This window comes from Homo sapiens, chromosome X, assembly GCF_000001405.40.
Source record: "Homo sapiens chromosome X, GRCh38.p14 Primary Assembly".
Classification (NCBI taxonomy): Eukaryota; Metazoa; Chordata; class Mammalia; order Primates; family Hominidae; genus Homo; species Homo sapiens.
Window position 1 is genome coordinate 140,697,438 of NC_000023.11, and position 18,396 is coordinate 140,715,833.

At 40.4% G+C, this 18,396-nt stretch overlaps 1 long non-coding RNA gene across 6 annotated transcripts in view; it reads left to right on the forward strand.

Moving 5' to 3' along the window:
• The first annotated feature begins 12,321 nt into the window (after positions 1 to 12,321).
• Positions 12,322 to 18,396, forward strand: part of LINC00632 (long intergenic non-protein coding RNA 632) — an 81,599-nt gene continuing 75,524 nt past the window's right edge. For 4 of the 6 annotated variants that reach the window (NR_173144.1, NR_173140.2, NR_173139.1 and 1 more), the window contains exons 1-2: positions 12,322 to 12,368; positions 14,184 to 14,219. This is a non-coding gene — a long non-coding RNA (long intergenic non-protein coding RNA 632). Of the gene's footprint in view, positions 12,369 to 14,183; positions 14,886 to 16,079; positions 17,395 to 18,396 lie in introns of those variants that run through there. The other 2 variants (NR_028344.1, NR_028345.2) reach the window with 2 other exon arrangements.

Below are 18,396 nucleotides of genomic sequence, written 5' to 3' on the forward strand. Positions count from 1 at the left end.
AAATCCATTCATCTCTCAATATTCAACTTGCATTTTGCCTCTAGCCTGGAAGCCTTCTCAGATGTTTCTTCCCCACTTAGGTACCTCTTATCTGTCTCCTCCACAATCTTCACTATACCTCTATCAGAGTATTTACTACACTGTATTATTTAATTTGTTTTATTTCTCTGTCTTGTCCAGTTAACTTTGAGCTCTTCAAAGCCAGGGGCTGTGTCTTATTCTTTTCTATATCCCTAATACAAGGATTGTCTTATAAGAATCATGCAACTAATGTTTGTACAATATATTTACTGCTCATTCGTTCAACAAATAGTTATTAATCATCCTGTGTTCTAGGATTTGTGGGTGAACATGACAAAAGAGGGGATGAATAAGCCTGTAGGTGGCAGTATTAGTGACAGCCACTGAGTAGAACTGGAGAAGGAAGAGGCTGACATGAAGATGACCGCCCTAAGTCTTTTAATTTCTTCTGTTCAGCATATTCCTGTTGGGAAATGAGGGGTAGAATTTGGACAGGTAGAGCTAGTATGTGGGCGCATGGAGCCAGAATTCCAACCCAAACCTGAGCCCCAAATCCATGTTCTTTACGACTTGATTCCTCTCTTGCCCTTAGGAATGATTGCACAGTTCTGGCTCTGAAATGCCATAAAGCAGACATCTCAATGAAGGTGAAAGACACTCATCCAGATGCATACATAATAAGCAAATCATCAACCACAGGTAATAACACATAACTGCCAATTTACCTTTTGTGAAGGCTGGCACTTTTCTAAGGAATGATTTTTTAGAGATTACTTTCCTTTAGGTTACTTACCAGTTAATTGTGTGCCCCTGAGAATGTTATTTTAGTTTTGAAATGAAAGTTATTTCATTTTATTTTATTATTTTTACTTTTTTGAGATGGAGTCTCGCTCTGTCCCCCAGGCTGGAGTGCAATGGCGCCATCTTGGCTCACTGCAACCTCCACCTCCCAGGTTCAAGTGATTTTTCTGCCTCAGCCTCCCAAGTAGCTGGGGCTACAGGTGCCCGCCACCATGCACGGCTAATTTTTGTATTTTTGGTAGAGATGAGGTTTCACTATGTTGGCCAGGCTGGTCTCGAACTCCTGACCTCAGGTGATCCACTTGCCTCGGCCTCCCACAGTGCTAGGATTACAGGTGTGAGCCACCGCGCCTGGCTGAAATGAAAGTTATTTTAAATTTGAGATGTCCATTAAAAGAAAACTTTAAAGGAACTGGAATTTGATGAAAGTTACCTCATAAAGTAATTGAAAGGACTAAAGATGAGAGAATGCATATGAAATAACTTAGCATAGTGACTGACACTAGGTAGGAACTGTAGAGATGTTTGCTTTAGTCAATTGTGCGCATTTTATTTGAGGTCCCCCTCCTGTGCGACTACACTCCGTTGCATGTCTTGTTTGATACATTATACCTAAGTATTTCATATATGAAGATGAAAGGAAGCAAGAATTAGTGGAAAGAATATGGTTTTGGAATAAAAACAGATCTCGGTTTGACTGCTGATTCTGTCATTTCTTGTGTGTCCTATGCAGGTCACTTACTTTCGCTTAGCTTCAGTTTCCCAATATGAAAAAATAGGGTGAGTAGGAATTACCTTGCATGGTTGTGATGAAGATTAAATGAGATAATGTCTATAAATTGTGATGTTTGACACATTATAGCATTATTAATATGGCACTGACATAGCAACCTTAGTTGTTATGTGCTTCAATTCTTTTTCAAATAATAAGGGGCTTCCCTTGTGTTCCTCAGTGGGCTGGAATTTAGTGTGTGGAATATATGGTCCATGGACAAAGCTAACTGGTAAATATAGAGATCAAATCCTTGATGGGTTATCTTTGATTGCCTCAAGAGCTGGCCAACCCAGATGTATTTTTGTCCTTCAAAAAACAGTAGTGAAGGGTGCAGTAGTGTTCAAGAAACATGAATTCTCCTTCAAAAAGCAGTAAGATTTCTCTGTATTAATTTAGAACATTTTTACTTCTTTTTTTTGAGACAGAGTCTCACTCTGTCACCCAGGCTGGAGTGCAATGGTGCATGGTCTCGGCTCACTGCAATCTCCACCTCCCGGATTCAAGCGATTCTTCCACCTCAGCCTCCCGAGTAGCTGGGACTACAGACGCGTGCCACTACACCCAGCTAATTTTTGTGTTTTTAGTAGAAACAGGGTTTCACTATGTTGGCCAGGCTGGTCTCAAACTCCTGACCTCGTGATCCGCCCGCCTTGGCCTCCCAAAGTGCTGGGATTACAGGCCATTTTTACTTTTCAAAACTGTTCATTGTATAAGTAAAAAATAGTAATTTGCAAGTGGGCACCTAAATTTGGTGTTCAAATGATGTGATTCAGACCAATCTTGCTGAAAACAATTAAAAATGCTAGACTATAGTTAACAGCAATATATAGTTTCAAATAGCTATGGGGATATTGGACATTCCCAACAGAAAGAAATGATAAATGTGTGAGATGATGCATATGCTAATTACCCTGATCTGATCACTATACGTTATATGTATTTAAGGACTATTATGTATCCCATGAATATGTACAATTATTATTTGTCAATTTAACAAAATTAAAAAGAAAAACAAATATTTGCGATGTGCTTTTTTTTTTTTTTTTTTGAGACAGAGTCTTGCTCTGTCACCCAGGCCGGAGTGCAGTGGCACGATCATAGCTCAGTGCAGTCTCGACCTCTCAGGCTCAAGCAGTTCTCTCACCTCAGCCTCCTTAGTAGCTGGGACTAGGTGCCACCTCACCTGGCTAATTTTTAAAATTTTTTTAGAGTCAGAGTTTTGCTATGTGACCCAGGATGGTCTTGAACTCCTGTGTTCCAGTGATCCTCCTACTTCGGGCTCCTAATGTGCTGGAATTACAGGCATGAGTGATTACGCCTGGCCTACCTTTCTGAAAGTATGGAAAAGTTGACTAGATAGTAAGGAGCTACAAGGCAAAATATCTAAGTGAAAGTGAGAACTTGAAAAGAAAAGGGAACACAAACTATCCTTGCACTGAGAATAGTTGTCAAACTCAGCTCCAGTTTTCATGGCCTTACAAAGCTTCAGTTTCAACTGAATTTGAGCTTCAGTTTTCATGGCCTTACAAAGTGATGGGGACAGAGGTCAAGCAAATCTCAACAATGTTTAAAGGACTGAAATAGTGTAAAGTTTTTTTTTCTGATTGCAATTCAATTAATCCAGAAACCAATAACAAAAGTGGAAACATTCTATGAATTTGGAAATTAAGAATTACATTTCTAGGCTGGGTGCGGCAGCTCACACCTGTAATCCCAGCACTTTGGGAGGCCGAGGCAGGCGGATCACGAGGTCAGGAGTTCAAGACCAGCCTGGTCAAGATGGTGAAACCCTGTCTCTACTACAAATACAAAAATTAGCCAGTCGCGGTGGCAGGCGCCTGTAATCCCAGCTACTTGGGCGGCTGAGGCAGGAGAATCACTTGAACCCGGGTGGCAGAGGTTGCAGTGAGCCAAGATCGTGCCACTGCACTCCTGCCTGGGCGATAGAGTGAGACTCCATTTAAAAAAAAAAAAAAAAGGAGCCTAAATGGATACAGACAGTTTATTACTAACACAGACAGCATAAACAAGAATATCATGGCGTCAGCTCCCCACATCCTTAGTTCCACAGGATTACAGTGAACCAGAGGCTTCAGATGACAGATGGCATGAGCAGTGGGTTACTCTGTCATGGAAGAACTATTCCTATACTATGTCAAAGTGGTTCTATAGCCTGAAGTTGCACCATAAGAGAAGCAGCAAGATAGAAAATCCCATGCCTCAGCAGAATAAGGAAGGTGGATGAGAACTGTCTTTTGGCAGCCTCCCACAAGATAGGGAGACCGAAAGAAACAGCCCTCACAAGACCACTTATCTTATCATATCCCAGGGAGAATTACAGGCCACTTCGCCAAGATTTAGGTCAGCTTCCAGTTGAGCCTTGCCTATATAGCCTATGGAAAGATGCAAAAGATTATCAGGACATCTCAGCAGTGGCATTCCCCTATAATCAAGAACAAATACTGAAAATTAAGGGAAATACCTTTGAACTCTATTTATACACAATAATACAAAAATGTTTTATTTTATTTATGACAATAACATTATAGTAATATTTAATAGGTCATTTGTCAAATTCGGTATTATTAGAAATCCTTCAGACGCGGTAAATTAGCACTTTACCACTAGATGGCACATGACAAATACAGTTGTCCTGTGTATCTGTGGAGGATTGGTTCCAGAACCTCCCACGGTTTCCGAAGTGTGCATATGCTCAAGTCTGATATAAAATGGCGTAGTGTCTGCCTATGTCCTACGGATTTCCTCCTGTATAATTTCAAGGATCTCTAGATTACGTATTAGAGCTAAGATAATGTAAATGCCATGTAAATGGTTGTTACGTAGGCATAACTTGCTGATATCCCAGGTTCAGTTCAATATCCACACCATTGCAATAAAGCAAATATCACAGTAAAGCAAGTCACACAAATGTTTTGATTTCCCAGTGCATACAAAAGGTATGTTTATACTGTACCGTAGTCTATTAAATGTGCAATACTACTATGCCTAAAAAAAAGTACATACCGTAACTTAAAAAATACTTTATTGATAAAAATGCTAACAATCATCTGAGCCTTTAGCGAGACATAATCATTTTGCTGGTGGAAGGTGGGTCTTGCCTGATGTTGATTGCTGATGACTGATCAGGGTGGTGGTTACTGAAGGGTGATGTGGCTGTGGCAATATCTTAAAATAAGAACAACGAGGCCAGGTGCAGTGGCTTACATCTAAAATTCCAGCACTTTGGGAGGCCAAGGTGGGCAGATCGTTTGAGTTCAGGTGTTTGAGACCAGCCCGAGCAACGTGGTAAAACCCCATCTCTACAAAAAATACAAAAAGAATTAGCCAGGCGTGGTGGCACGCGCCTGTAGTCCCAGCTACTCAGGAGGCTGAGGTTGGTGGATCTCTTGAGCCTAGGAGGTTGATGTTGCAGTGAGTGGAGATCATGCCACTGCACTCCAGACTGGGTGACAGAGGGAGACCCTTTCTCTGAAAAAAAACAAAAACAAAAACAAAAACAAACAAACAAAAAAAAACAATGAAGTTTGCCACATTTATTGGCTCCTCCTTTCACAAGAGATTTCTTTGTACAATGTGATGTTATTTGATCGCATTTTACCCACAGCAAAACTTTTTTCATGGCTCATGCCTATAATCCAGCACTTCGGGAGGCCAAGGTAGGCGGATCATGAGGTCAGGAGTTCAAGACCAGCCTGGCCAATATGGTGAAACACTGTCTCTACTGAAAATACAAAACTTAGCCGGGTGCAGTGGTGAGTGCCTGTAATCCCAGCTACTCAGGATGCTGAGGCAGGAGAATTGCTTGAATCCGGGAGGCGGAAGTTTCAGTGAGCCAAGATTGCGCCACTGCACTCCAGCCTGGGTGACAGAGCAAGATTCCATCTCGAAAAAAACAAACAAACAAACCAAAAAAACTTCTTTCAAGATTTGAGTCAATCCTCTGAAACCATGCTGCTGCTTTATCAACTAAGTTTATGGAATATTTTAAATCCTTTGTAATAATGTCAATAATATTCACAGCATCTTCTCCAGGAGAAGATACTATCTCAAGAAACCACTTTCTTTACTCATCTGTAAGAAGCAACTCCTCATCCATTCAAGATTTATCATGAGATTGCAACAATTCAGTTACATCTTCAGGCTCTACTTCTAATTCTAGTTCTCTTGTTATTTCCACCACGTCTACAGGTAACTCCTCTACTGATGTATTGAGCCTCTCAAAGTTATTCATGAGGATTGGAATCAAGTTCTTCCAAACCCGTGTTAATATGTTGATATTCTCCTCCCATGAATCACATGGATCACAAATGTTCTCTTTTTTTTTTTTTTTTTTTTTTTGAGACTGAGTCTTGCTCTATCGCCCAGGCTGGAGTGCAGTGGCACAATCTTGGCTCACTGCAACCTCCGCCTCCCAGGTTCAGGCGATTCTTGTGCTTCAGGCTCCCGAGTAGCTGGGATTACAGGCGTGCACCACCACGCCCAGCTAATTTTTGTATTTTTTAATAGAGATGGGGTTTCACCATGTTGGCGGGGCTGGTCTCAAACTCCTGACCTCAATTGATCTGCCCGCCTTGGCCTCCCAAAGTGTTGGGATTACAGGCGTGAGCCACCGTGCCCAGCCACAAATGTTCTTAATAGCATGAATCACAAGTGTTGATAATGGCTTCTAGAATGGTGATTTATTTCCAGAAGGTTTTCAATTGACTTTGCTCAGATTCATCAAAGGATAACTATCTATGGCATCTATAAACTTATGAAATTTATTTCTTAAATTATGAGACTTGAAAGTCAAAGTTACTTCTTGATCCATGGGCTGCAAAATGGATATTGTGTTAGCAGGCATGAACACAACATTCATCTCCTTGGACACCTTCATCAGAGCTCTTGGGTGGATAGGTGCATTGTCATTGAGCAGCAATATTTTGAAAAGAATCTTATTTTTTCTGAGCAGTGTGTTTCAATAGTCGGCTTAAAATATTCAGTAAACTATGCTGTAAATAGACGTGATGTCATCCAGGCTTTGTTTTTCCATTTACAGAGCACAGGCAGAGTGGATGTGGCATAATTCTTCAGAGCCCTAGGGTTATCAGAATGGTAAATGAGCATTGGCTTCAACTTAAAGTCACCAGCTGCATTAATCCCTAACAAGAGATCCAGTCTGTCATTTCAAGATTTGAAGCCAGGTATTGATTTATTCTACCTATTAAAGTCCCAGATGACATCTTCTCTTAATAGAAGGTTGTTACGTCTACACTGAAAATGTGTTCTTCAGTGTAGCTACTTTCATCAATGATCTTAGCTAGATCTTCTGGATAACTTGCTACAGCTTCTCCATCAGCACTTGCTGCTTCACCTTGCACTTTTATGCTATAGAGACTGCTTCTTTCCTTAAACTTGTGAACCAACCTTTGCTACCTTCAAATTTTCCTTCTACAGCTTCCTCACCTCTTAGGAGACGAAGGCTAGGGCCTTCACAGAATTGAAGAGAATTAGGGCCTTGCTCTGGATTAGGATTTGGCTTAAAGGAATATTGTGGCTAGTTTGATCTATCCGGACCACTCAAACTTTGTCTATATCAACAATAAGGCTGTTTCGCTTTCTTATCTTTCGTGTATTGACTGGAGTAGCACTTTTAATTTCCTTCAAGAGTGTTTCCTTTGTATTCACTATTTGGCTGTTTGGTGCCAGAGCCTTTGCTCTCAGCCTGTCTCGGCTTTTCACATGCCCTTTTCACTAATCTTATTCATTTTTAGCTTTAGATTTAGAGTGAGAGATGTGGGAGGACTCTTTCACTCGAACATTTAAAGGTCGTTGTTGGATTATTAATTGGCCTAATTTCATTATTGTTTTGTCTCAGGGAATAGGAAATCTAGAAGAGAGAGAGAGAGATGGGAAAACAGCAGGGTGGTAGAGCAGTCAGAACACACACAACATTGATCAATTAAGTTCCCCCCTTTATTTGTTTTTTTGAGATGGAGTCTCACTCTGTTGCCCAGGCTGGAGTGCAGTGGCACGATCTCAGCTCACTACAACCTCTGCCTTCCAGGTTCAAGCAATTCTCCTGCCTCAGCCTTCTGAGTAGCTGAGATTATAGGCACGCAACACCATGCCCAACTATTTTTTTTTTTTTTTTTTTTTTTTGTATTTTAGTAGAGACGGGATTTCACCATGTTGGCCAGTCTGGTCTCGAACTCCTGACCCCATGATCTGTCCGCCTTGGCCTCCCAAAGTGCTGGGTCCTGACCTCATGATCCGCCTGCCTCAGCCTCCCAAAGTGCTGGGATTACAGGTGTGAGCCACCGCACCTGGCCTAAGTTCCCCTTTTATATGGGCACAGTTTATGGCGCCCCCAAATAATTACAATAGTAACATCGAAGATCACTAATCACAGATCATCATAACAGATATAATGATAATGAAAAAGTTTGAAATATAGCAAGAATTACCAAAATGTGACAGAGACACCAAGTGAGCACATGTTGGAAAAATGGCACCAATAGCCTTGCTAGATGCAGAGTTGCCACAAACATTAAATTTGTAAAAAATGCAAGATTTACAAAGTGCAATAAAGTGATGTGTAACAAAATGAGGTATGTCTATATGGTATTATTTAGGGAATAATGACACAGAAAAAAAGTCTATACATGTCCAGTGCAGATGGATTTTTAAAAAATATTTTCAATTTTGAATTCACAGATGAAGAACTCGTGGATATGGAAGACCAGTTGTGTTCATCCTCCATCTGGTCAGTATGGAAAGTTCTTTCTCTAACTTAGGAATTACAAACCTGATTATCATTAATTTCAAAATGTATATGAATTTTAACTTTAAATATAATTATTGTGCAATAATTCTTTTTCTGAAAGTATTTTCCTCTTTATTTTCTAAATTTACCTTTTAATAATTTTTTTCTTTTTCTTTCTTTTTTCTTTTTCTTTTTTGAGGTGAGGTCTCACTCTGTCGCCCAGGCTGGAGTGCAGTGGCACGATCTCAGCTCACTGCAACCTCTGCCTCTCATGTTCAGGCGATTCTCCCACTTCAGCCTCCTCAATAGCAGGCACGTGCCTGCCACCATGCCCAGCTAATTTTGTTGTTCTTTTGTTTTTGAGACAGAGTCTCGCTCTGTCGCCCAGTCTGGAGTGCAGTGGCTCGATCTTGGCTCACTGCAACCTCCGCCTCCTGGGTGCAAGCAATTCTCCTGTCTCAGCCTCCCAAGTAGCTGGGACTACAGGCGCACACCACCACACCCAGCTAATTTTTGTATTTTTTAGTAGAGATGAGGTGTCACCATATCAGTCAGGCTGGTCTCGAACTCCTGACCTCAGGTCATGCACCTGCCTCAGCCTCCCAAAGTGCTGGAATTATCGGTGTAAGCCACCGTGCCTGGCCCTAATTTTTGTATTTTTAGTAGAGATGGAGTTTTACCATGTTGGCCAGACTGGTCTTGAACTCCTAACCTCAGGTGATCCGTCTGCCTCTGCCTCCCAAAGTGCTGGGATTACAGACATAAGCCACCGCGCCAGGCCATTAATTTTTTTTTTCATTTAAAATACTTCAAGCCTACAGAAAAGCTCAAAAAATAACACAGTGAACACCTGTGTATACTTGACCTAGATTTACCAATGATTAACCTATTGCTACATTGCATTTGGTAGTTGTATCTTTTTAATCTTCATTAATCTAGGATAGTTTCCCTGCCCTCCCACTTTTTAAAAATAGTTTGATGGTTCAGGCCAGCTGTCTTCTAGATTGTTCCACAATCTGGATTTAATGATTGATTCTTCAGATAAAATATTTTTGGCTAGTACTTAAATAGATGACGTGTGCTTCCCATTTCATCACATCAAAAGGCACATTTCAGTTTGTGCTATTATTGGTGACATGAAGTTTAATCAGTTAAGGCAGGGGTATTCCAAATCACTCCATTGAAAATGCACATTTTTCTCTTTTATATTTAATTAGTAGCCTATGGGCAATACTTAAAAGTCCTGTGAATATTCTCTTCCCCGGTGTTTTGCCTAATGGTTTTGGTATGCATTGACGATTCTTGCCTAAACCTGTTATTATACTGATGGTTTCTTTTCTTTTCTTTTCTTTTTTTCTTTTTTTTTTTTCTTCGGAGACGGAGTCCCTCTCTGTCACCCAGGCTGGAGTGTAGTGGCGCGATCTCAGCTCACTGCAACCTCTGCCTCCAGAGTTCAAGCAATTCTCCTGCCTCAGCCTCTCGAGTAGCTGGGATTACAGGCACCTGCCACCATGACTAGCTAATTTTTGTATTTTTAGTAGAGACGAAGTTTCACCATGTTGGCCAGGCTGGTCTCGAACTCCTGACCTCAGGAGATCCACCTGTGTCGGCCTCCCAAAGTGCTGGGATTACAGGCAAAGTGCTGGGATTACAGGCATGAGCCACCGTGCCCGGCCTATACTGAAGGTTTCTAAATGGTCAGTTACAAATTCTGTCATTCCTTACAAATATATCTCCTTTTAGAAAAAAGCAGTTTCTTTTCTTTTCTGTTATTCTTTTAGAACAAAGCAGTTACCCTCTCCATTACCACTTTTTCTTTTTTACTATCACTGTGGACTCACGGATTTTTTTATTCTATGTTTTATAGTCAACGACCATTATTATTCCTTTTGATGATCAAATTGTACCAGAGTTAGCCAGTGAGAGCCCTTTCAAGACATCTCCTGTGTCTTTTTGATGTGTTCTCATCATTCTTCAAGTGCTTTTTGGCTTATAATACAAGATACTTCAAGTTCACTTGTATTTTTCCTGCCCCATGTATAGCGTCAGCTATTTTTCCAGTAAACCTTGGTTTCTTTTAGTAGACAACAGTATTTAGAAACTAATACCTGGGCATTAGATGTACTCATTGCTGCTGGTGTGTCATATTAATTGCTACTGGAGTGTCATTGCCTCCTTTCTGTGGACAGACCTAGTAAGATTTGTCTTAGGAAATCATGAGTTCATACTAAAAATTCCGATTCAAATCCGTCACCAAAGGTTTCTTTAGGATTCTCTTCACTTTCTCAGATTCATATTTGTATCTCCTTTCTCCTATAGTGAGAACTCTGGTTCCAAAAATACCCCCAAAAAATGCATTTACTCGTTTGTTCTAACCATGCAGAATATACACACGTGGTGTGTGTGTGTGTGTGTGTGTGTGTGTGTGTATGTATGTATGTGTCATAGTTTTAGAATTTACTTCTCCAATAACATTACCAATAATACAGATTATATTTAAGTTTTCTGGTCAGAACCAAATGATGACGTTTGTTAAAAATACAGATTTCTGGGCTTGTCCCTAGCCTGCCAAAACAGAATACTTGGGAATAGGTCCCTTTAGTCCTCATTTTAAAAAATTAACACTCCAGGTGATTTAGAAGAACTCTGATGTTTGTGATTCAATGATGTGATGAGGAGCTTGAGCTTTAAGTAAGAAAGGTTGGTATCCTCGTTCTGTTACTTAGTCTTTTCAGGTTCATCACCTGGTACTTAGAAAAGTGCCTGACCTATAATAAATACATAATAAAGGTACTGATCTTTTTTTATTATAAGGTACTGAACTGGATTGCCACATATTTCCTATCTGGCAGAAATTAAATTAGTTTTAAAAGCAGTTTATGTAATGATGTAATGTTGAAAAGTTGTTCTGAAGTGAATACATTTGTGAAAATAGAAGTAAAAATTTTCTAAAAGCTACACTGTAAAGATAAGTGTGCATGATCAGTTGAGATGTACGAATATATGTTTGTATATTTTAACATTATATATGTGTTTCTTTACTTCTTCCACCCATCGGGAGTCCAGTATTTTGGGGCAGATTATGTAACAATTCTAATGATAACGTTACCCAAAACTGATGAAAAAAAGAATAACTTCGACAAAATACTTCTATTTTGCAGCCTGTGCATATTATTACCTTATGAACTTATAAAGGGAGGATGGACTATTTTTTATTCACTTTTATAATCCCTGTCCCCACCACCATATTTTGACTGTGGTATTACAGGAATACCTCATTTTGTTGCACGACACGTATTTGTGGAGTGAATGAATCGTTCTTTCTCTCTTTTTTATTGTAGGAAAAATATGTAACAAAAAATTTCCACTTGATTTTAACTGTACAGTTTGGTAGCATTGAGCACATTCATATTAGAACAGGGTTCTACCGACAGCATTGTACCAAGTGAGGGAACCAAAAAATTTTCTGCTTTTCATTGTGGAATGTCATTTGAATCAGAAATCTTCTGGGGACTTTGTTATTTGAATTTCTAACTTTCCTTATTACTTGCCTGGGAGAAAACACATATTGAACAACAAAATGGTAATGTTCATCCTCAGAGACTAGACCTTGTCAATGTTCTCTGATGCCTAGTAGGACCACTGCAGGAAAAAAAAAAAAGTTAATGAGACTGTTGCTAGGAGACGGGAGAGCCAAAAGCTCATAGTCTTGTAGGGGTTCCTCTGGAAATCAAGGCAACTTAAGTGTGTTTTGGATTAGAGGTTTAGCTATTAAAATCTGCCCTTTGAAGAGCATGCACATTTTAGCATATAATGTTTAGTATGATTTCATGTTTTTGGAGAATTTTTGAGGATAATCTCAAGGCATTTCATTTCTTTCCATAGGGATAATCCCTTTTTTTCAGAGTACATCTCATTTCCAAGTGGCTGTTGCGCTGCTGTTTGCCCCCACTCCTTCAGTGCGACAGACAGCCTCAGAGCTGGTGGGGAGACAGCATGCCACTGGTAAGTAGCTGAGAAATATTTTGTAAAATAGATATCCAGACTAAGATTTTTAAAGCAAGCGACATGTTTTGAGGGAATAGAATAATGCAAAATTGTGTAGGAATCTCTGATTCTAATCAGCAGCATTGGGAAATGGATTAATTAAATTCTAAATATTCCCTGGTCATTTTTCTAGTTTAAAGCTTGTTTCTTAAATGATGGAGTTGCTAGGAGGCAATATAGAAACTTTCCCCTTGTGATTCTTGTAAAATATTTCCTAAAATAAGATTTAATGAAGATGTTACTAAATTGGAGAATTGCTTTCAGAATTGTACCTCAGCTTTACGATATTTGTATTTGACGTGATGAAATGGGTTATGATTCAAGATGTTCTCAAACCTGGTTTATTTTCTCAGTGCTGGGAGAGCATAAGAAAAATATTACTTTGCAATGCAGAAAAGGATACGATGCCTCATTTTTTTAAATTAAGAAAGTCGTGTGACGGGATGTCTGTACTAGAGAGAAAATGAGGAAGAGGGCAGTTTGTAATAATGTTCAGATTGATTGCTTCATGTGAGATATGAAAGTGTATTCAATGAGAAACATTAAAATTTGACTTTAGGATGAAAAAATCATGAAAAAGTAATAATGAATATTATGATCGTGCTTTCATTGGAAAAAATTAATTTGTATTTTTGGACAGCGATTTATACAGTAAAGACAAGAGTGTTCTCGGTGCTTCTTTTTTTGAAAAGGGATGTGAGATGGATAGCAGAGATTCTTATCAACGAAGCTTTAATGTTTGTTTCTGAAACATTCCTGAAAACAGAGCTTTTGTAGCTCTGTTTCTGCAAGAAAAACGAAAAAAAAAAGTGAAGTGGTGGTTTATTCCTTTGAAATTCAAACTGGCCCTTGAACGTGAGGAAAAGAAAAATGATAGATAAATAGATTTCGTTTTTGAGTTAGATGACAAAGCAGCAGCAATCAAGGAGGAAAAATAAGAATGAAAAAGCTTAAAAGAAAGTCCTCAAGATGGGCCATTTTCCCAAGTTGAACATGTCTGCTGGTAGCATGTTTTGCAGAGGGAAAGGGAGAGAACATACTGGAGGCAAAGGGAGGGGGTGTTGAACAGAGCACTGCGGCAAAGAGAGTGACTGACGCATCCAGGGACATGTGACCATTCTCTGGTGTAGCGAAGAAAATTTGCCAGGACTCCATCTTGTATAAGACATTCTATACATACTGACATGCAAATAATGCTATAATCTTTCTGTAGTACATAATGAGCTCGTTTTGCGTGATCCTCCACTGGTGTATATTGGTATTTTGTCTTTGCTTCTACGCCTTCCTCTCTGTGCTTCCAGTGCTTTTATACACTTACTAAAATATTAAAAATGATGTTTTCCCCTTTATTATAAAAATATCATAGTCATTGTAGTAAATTTTGAATAATGTAAAGATGATTATAAAAATTACCCATAATCCCGTAACTTAGAGATAATTACTATTAATCTTATTACTGTCAGTCTCTTTTCTCTGAATATATGCAAATAAATGCATAGAAATATATATTTTATACAAAATGAAGATCACATGTACATACAATTTTTAGCCTGTTTGATCCATTAAATATATATTGGGAGCAATTCCCCATATTTTAAAATATTCCACAAGAATGTGGTGTTTTGTGGATGTATAATTTTCTATCATATAGATGTCCCACTAAATGTCCAATTATTGAATGTTTATATGTGCATTATTTTTGCTGTTATAAATAACTGAAGGAATATCTTTCCATATAAATATCTGTGTGCTTTTCTGGTTTTTTCTCCCTAGGAAAAATTCGTAGACATGGAATTCCTGGATCAAATGGTATGAAACAATTTAAGGTTTCTTCCCCCCAACACCTATCACCTAATTTATTTATTATATGTGGTATAAACATTATTTTCCAGCCATTGTTTTCCTATTAATTTTTACCATTTATGGTGGTGATTTTTTGATATTTTACAGTTTTACATGTTAGATTTCCATATCTGACCATTTTAAGTGTTGTGATTTTTTTCTTTCCTTTGATTAGTGTATTCACCTGTATTTTTTTCTAGTTATTTAATTGCTTCATTTTTTACAATTAACTCCTTAATCCACCTAGAATTCATTTTGATATATGGTATACAGTAGGATTTAATTTTTTTTCCCCCTAATAGGTCACCGATTGTTTCAGCATCACTTATTGAATAATCCAACGCAACAACTGTTCTTCCATTAGATAGGGTGTAGCTTTCCACAGGTCGGCCATTTTCTCTTTACCCAAGATGGTTACATTTTGCAATGGTACTCCTACCTTCCTGCAGCTTCTGACAGCATACTAGAGCACCATGTTTGTGCTTGTGCGTTTCAAAAATCCTAGGCACATGCAGATTAGGGCAGTATTTTAAACAGGATTTTTTTTTTCATTTTAAATATGTTAAGTTTGTCACATTCTTGTTGCAAATTAAAATTAAGGAATCCAAATATATGAAACCACGGTTTCAGGTGTGCTATTCCTCTTAGGCGCACCTGATATCCCAATTGTGTGTTAAAAAAAAAAATACCCCCGGGGTTAAAGTTCCTCCTTCAACCTCTTTTTTTTTTTTTTTTTTACTCTTCAGATACTCAAAGAGTTAAAGTTGGCTCGACTCAGTTCTTGGAATTTTCTAGAATGATATAAGAGGGAAATACAAGAAATGTATGAGGAGTAGAAGTAAATAATGTTTGCCAGCCTGTTGCTGGCCGTAGTCTCATGTAGGGATTTAAAGGAGCTAGGGTGAGTCCTAACCCATGCCACCACTGCCACTACCTCTTCTAGATAGGGACACACCCCAGTGAGCCACCTCTTTTCACTGCAGGTGTAAGGCTCAAGACATAAGGCAAGGAGTTTTTTAGTAGGAGATGGGTTAAATATTGCCCAGAGAAATCTGACAATTAAAATCACTTGCTACCTATTACCAACCCTCTCCCGGGCCCCCAACGAAGCTTTCTCTCTCTATTGACTTCTGCACCGGGCCTCTTAGCTTTACTGATTCTGGGGGGGAAAAAAAAGGGCGGGGGGAGGATGGCGCGTGAGTGGGAGGCTGCCTTGCCTGCGGTTATTGCAAGGGGCTCCTTTGGCTCACAGCCTCAGTCCCAGTAGTTTCCTGACTTGCCGCATTAGACTGTGTTTTGTTTATGAGGAGGCTGGTTTCCCTGGCAATGGCAGCTCGCCAGTGCATGCGCATTTGCTCCACTGCAGTAGCAGAATGCGGCTGTGGGGCCAGGGGAGGGGTCCTGAGGGCCGCAGTGGCTGGAGTTATTTGGCAGACATGACGTCAGTTTTTCTGAGCTAAACTGCCATCGTTACTGTATATGGAGCATTTTTTTTTTTTTAAATAAAGCTTGGAAGGCTTTTAGCCACTCCTTTTCTTTCCTCCCAAATTAACTGCTCTCTATATGCTCACCAGTGACCACGAAGGCTTTCTAAGGTTTGAGGCCACCGATGCCCTCAGGGCCCCGAGGGGAATCATAATAGTATGAGAACAGGAAACAGACTGCCTGGTTTCAGACCTCGGCTGCTTGCTAGTTGCATGACTGTGGGACGGGTTACTTAAATCTCTTCGTTTCCTCAGATGTAAAATGGGGATGCTAACAGCATGTTTAGAACAGTGTCTGGCACATAGTAACCATTATGTAAGTGTTGTCTATTATTATTTGTAGATACTAAGGGGGACTTGCCTGGAAGCAGACTTGTGTCCGCAGTATACAAACTCACCCTTTAATGCACACACTGACCAGATAACACAAACACATTTACCCCCACAGCACCTAGACTCTTCTCACAGTACACACACTTGCCTTCCAGTACACAGACATATCCAAAGGCACACCGACAAGCACCACAGCAAAAAGATGTTCCCCAGAACACATGGACACCCCAATCCCCGTATCATTAGACTCTCCCAGAGGCACGTATGTACTGCTTAATGCAGAGACTCACCTGAGGCACACTGATGCACCCCGCATGACACAGACTTGCCCCCCCATAAGGACTCTACTATGACACACAGACAATCCCAACATCACACACTGTTCCCACATCACACGAACCCATTTTAGGAAACACACAGCATACAGACTTACCCCATAGAACACGGCTTCCCCGACAAGCACACATACTCTCAAGGCCAGTAGACTCACCCCACAGCACACAGACTTTCTCTAGAGTGTACAGCTTCTTCCCACAGCAAACAGACTCTCCCCAGGGCACACAGACACCCCTGACATCACATACTCTCACCACAGACCATAGACTCGTCCTAGAGCACAGGGACTCTTGCCAATGAAACAGACTTTCCCGAGAATAGACTCATGAGACAGCTTGAAGACCCGCATCATGACACAAAGACTCTCCCACAACAGACAGACTCACCCCATTGTGTACAGACAAGCACCATAGGCCACAGACCATCACCTCAGGACACAGACTTGCCCAGCACCACACAGACACTCTGCAGAGCACGTAGAGTCACCCCGCAAAGCACAGACTAAACCCATACTACAGAGACTCTCCCTATAGCTTTCAGACAAGTTTACCCCACCACAGAGACATGCAACGGTACATCTTACAACATATATCACTCCTTGATGCACACAATTGTGCCACAGCACACAAACTTGTCCTACAGTGCACAAATTCATGTCACAAAAGACACACTCACCACACAATACAAATACTTGCTCCAGCCGGACGCGGTGGCTCACGCCTGTTATCCCAGCACTTTGGGAGGCCTAGGCAGGTGGATCACCTGACGTTGGGAGTTCGAGACCAGTCTCACCAACATGGAGAAACCCCGTCTCCACTAAAAATACAAAATTAGCCGGGCATGGTGGTGCATGCCTGTAATCTCAGCTGCTCCGGAGGCTGAGGCAGGAGAATCGCTTGAACCCAAGAGGCGGAGGTTGCAGTGAGCCAAGATTGTGCCACTGCACTCCAGCCTGGGCAACAAGGGCAAAACTTTGCCTCAAAAAAAATAAAAAAATAAAAAAAAAAACAACCCAGCAACAAAAACAAACAAAAAAAAACAATTACTTGCTCCAGAGTTCACTCATTTGCCCTAAAATATCTAGACCTTACCCCAGAGTTACCACACAATGCATGCTGTGTCCCTGCATCACCAAAATACAACTCAAACTCCTCAGACACACTCTGATAAATAGACATACCTGACAATGTACAGCTTGGCATCATAGCAGGAAAAACTGGCTCTACAACAGATTTATTCTACAACAGACACACTCAGGCTGTAGAGACACCTAATCTTTCTTTAAGGTATTCAGACCCACCCTTTTGGGCACAGTCACAGATGTGATCCAGGATACCCTCACCCATCCCACAATACTGATGCAACCCACAGCGTACAAACACATCCCACAGCATAACACTCTAAGCCCACAGTGCTCAGAAATGTCAGGCACACATTTGCCATACAGATTTACTTCACACACAAAAAACACAGCCAGGTGGGTGGCTCATGCCTGTAATCCCAGCACTTTGGGAGTCCGAGGCGGGCGGATCACAAGGTCAGGGGTTCAGGACCAGCCTGTCCAACATGGTGAAACCCCGTCTCTACTAAAAATACAAAAAAATTAGCCGGGCATGGTGGCACATGCTTGTAGTCCCAGCTACTCGGGAGGCTGAGGCAGGAGAATCACTTGAACCCAGGAGGTGGAGGTTGCAGTGAGCCGAGATCATGCCATTGCACTCCACCTTGGGCAACAGAGTGAGACTTCGTCTAAAAAAAAAAGAAAGAAAGAAAGAAACAAACAAGAAAACAACAACAAAAAACACTTCTTATAGTGCCTATACAATGCAAACATGTATCCCAAAATATATGAAACTATTTGCTATGTCACTCTTAGGTTTACCCCAAAGCACATAGACCGTTTTCACTGCTCAAGCTGCTGCCTACAAAACAGGAGATGCCAAGCCATGCACAGAAATTCACCAAAATGCACAGATTCACCTATCAATATA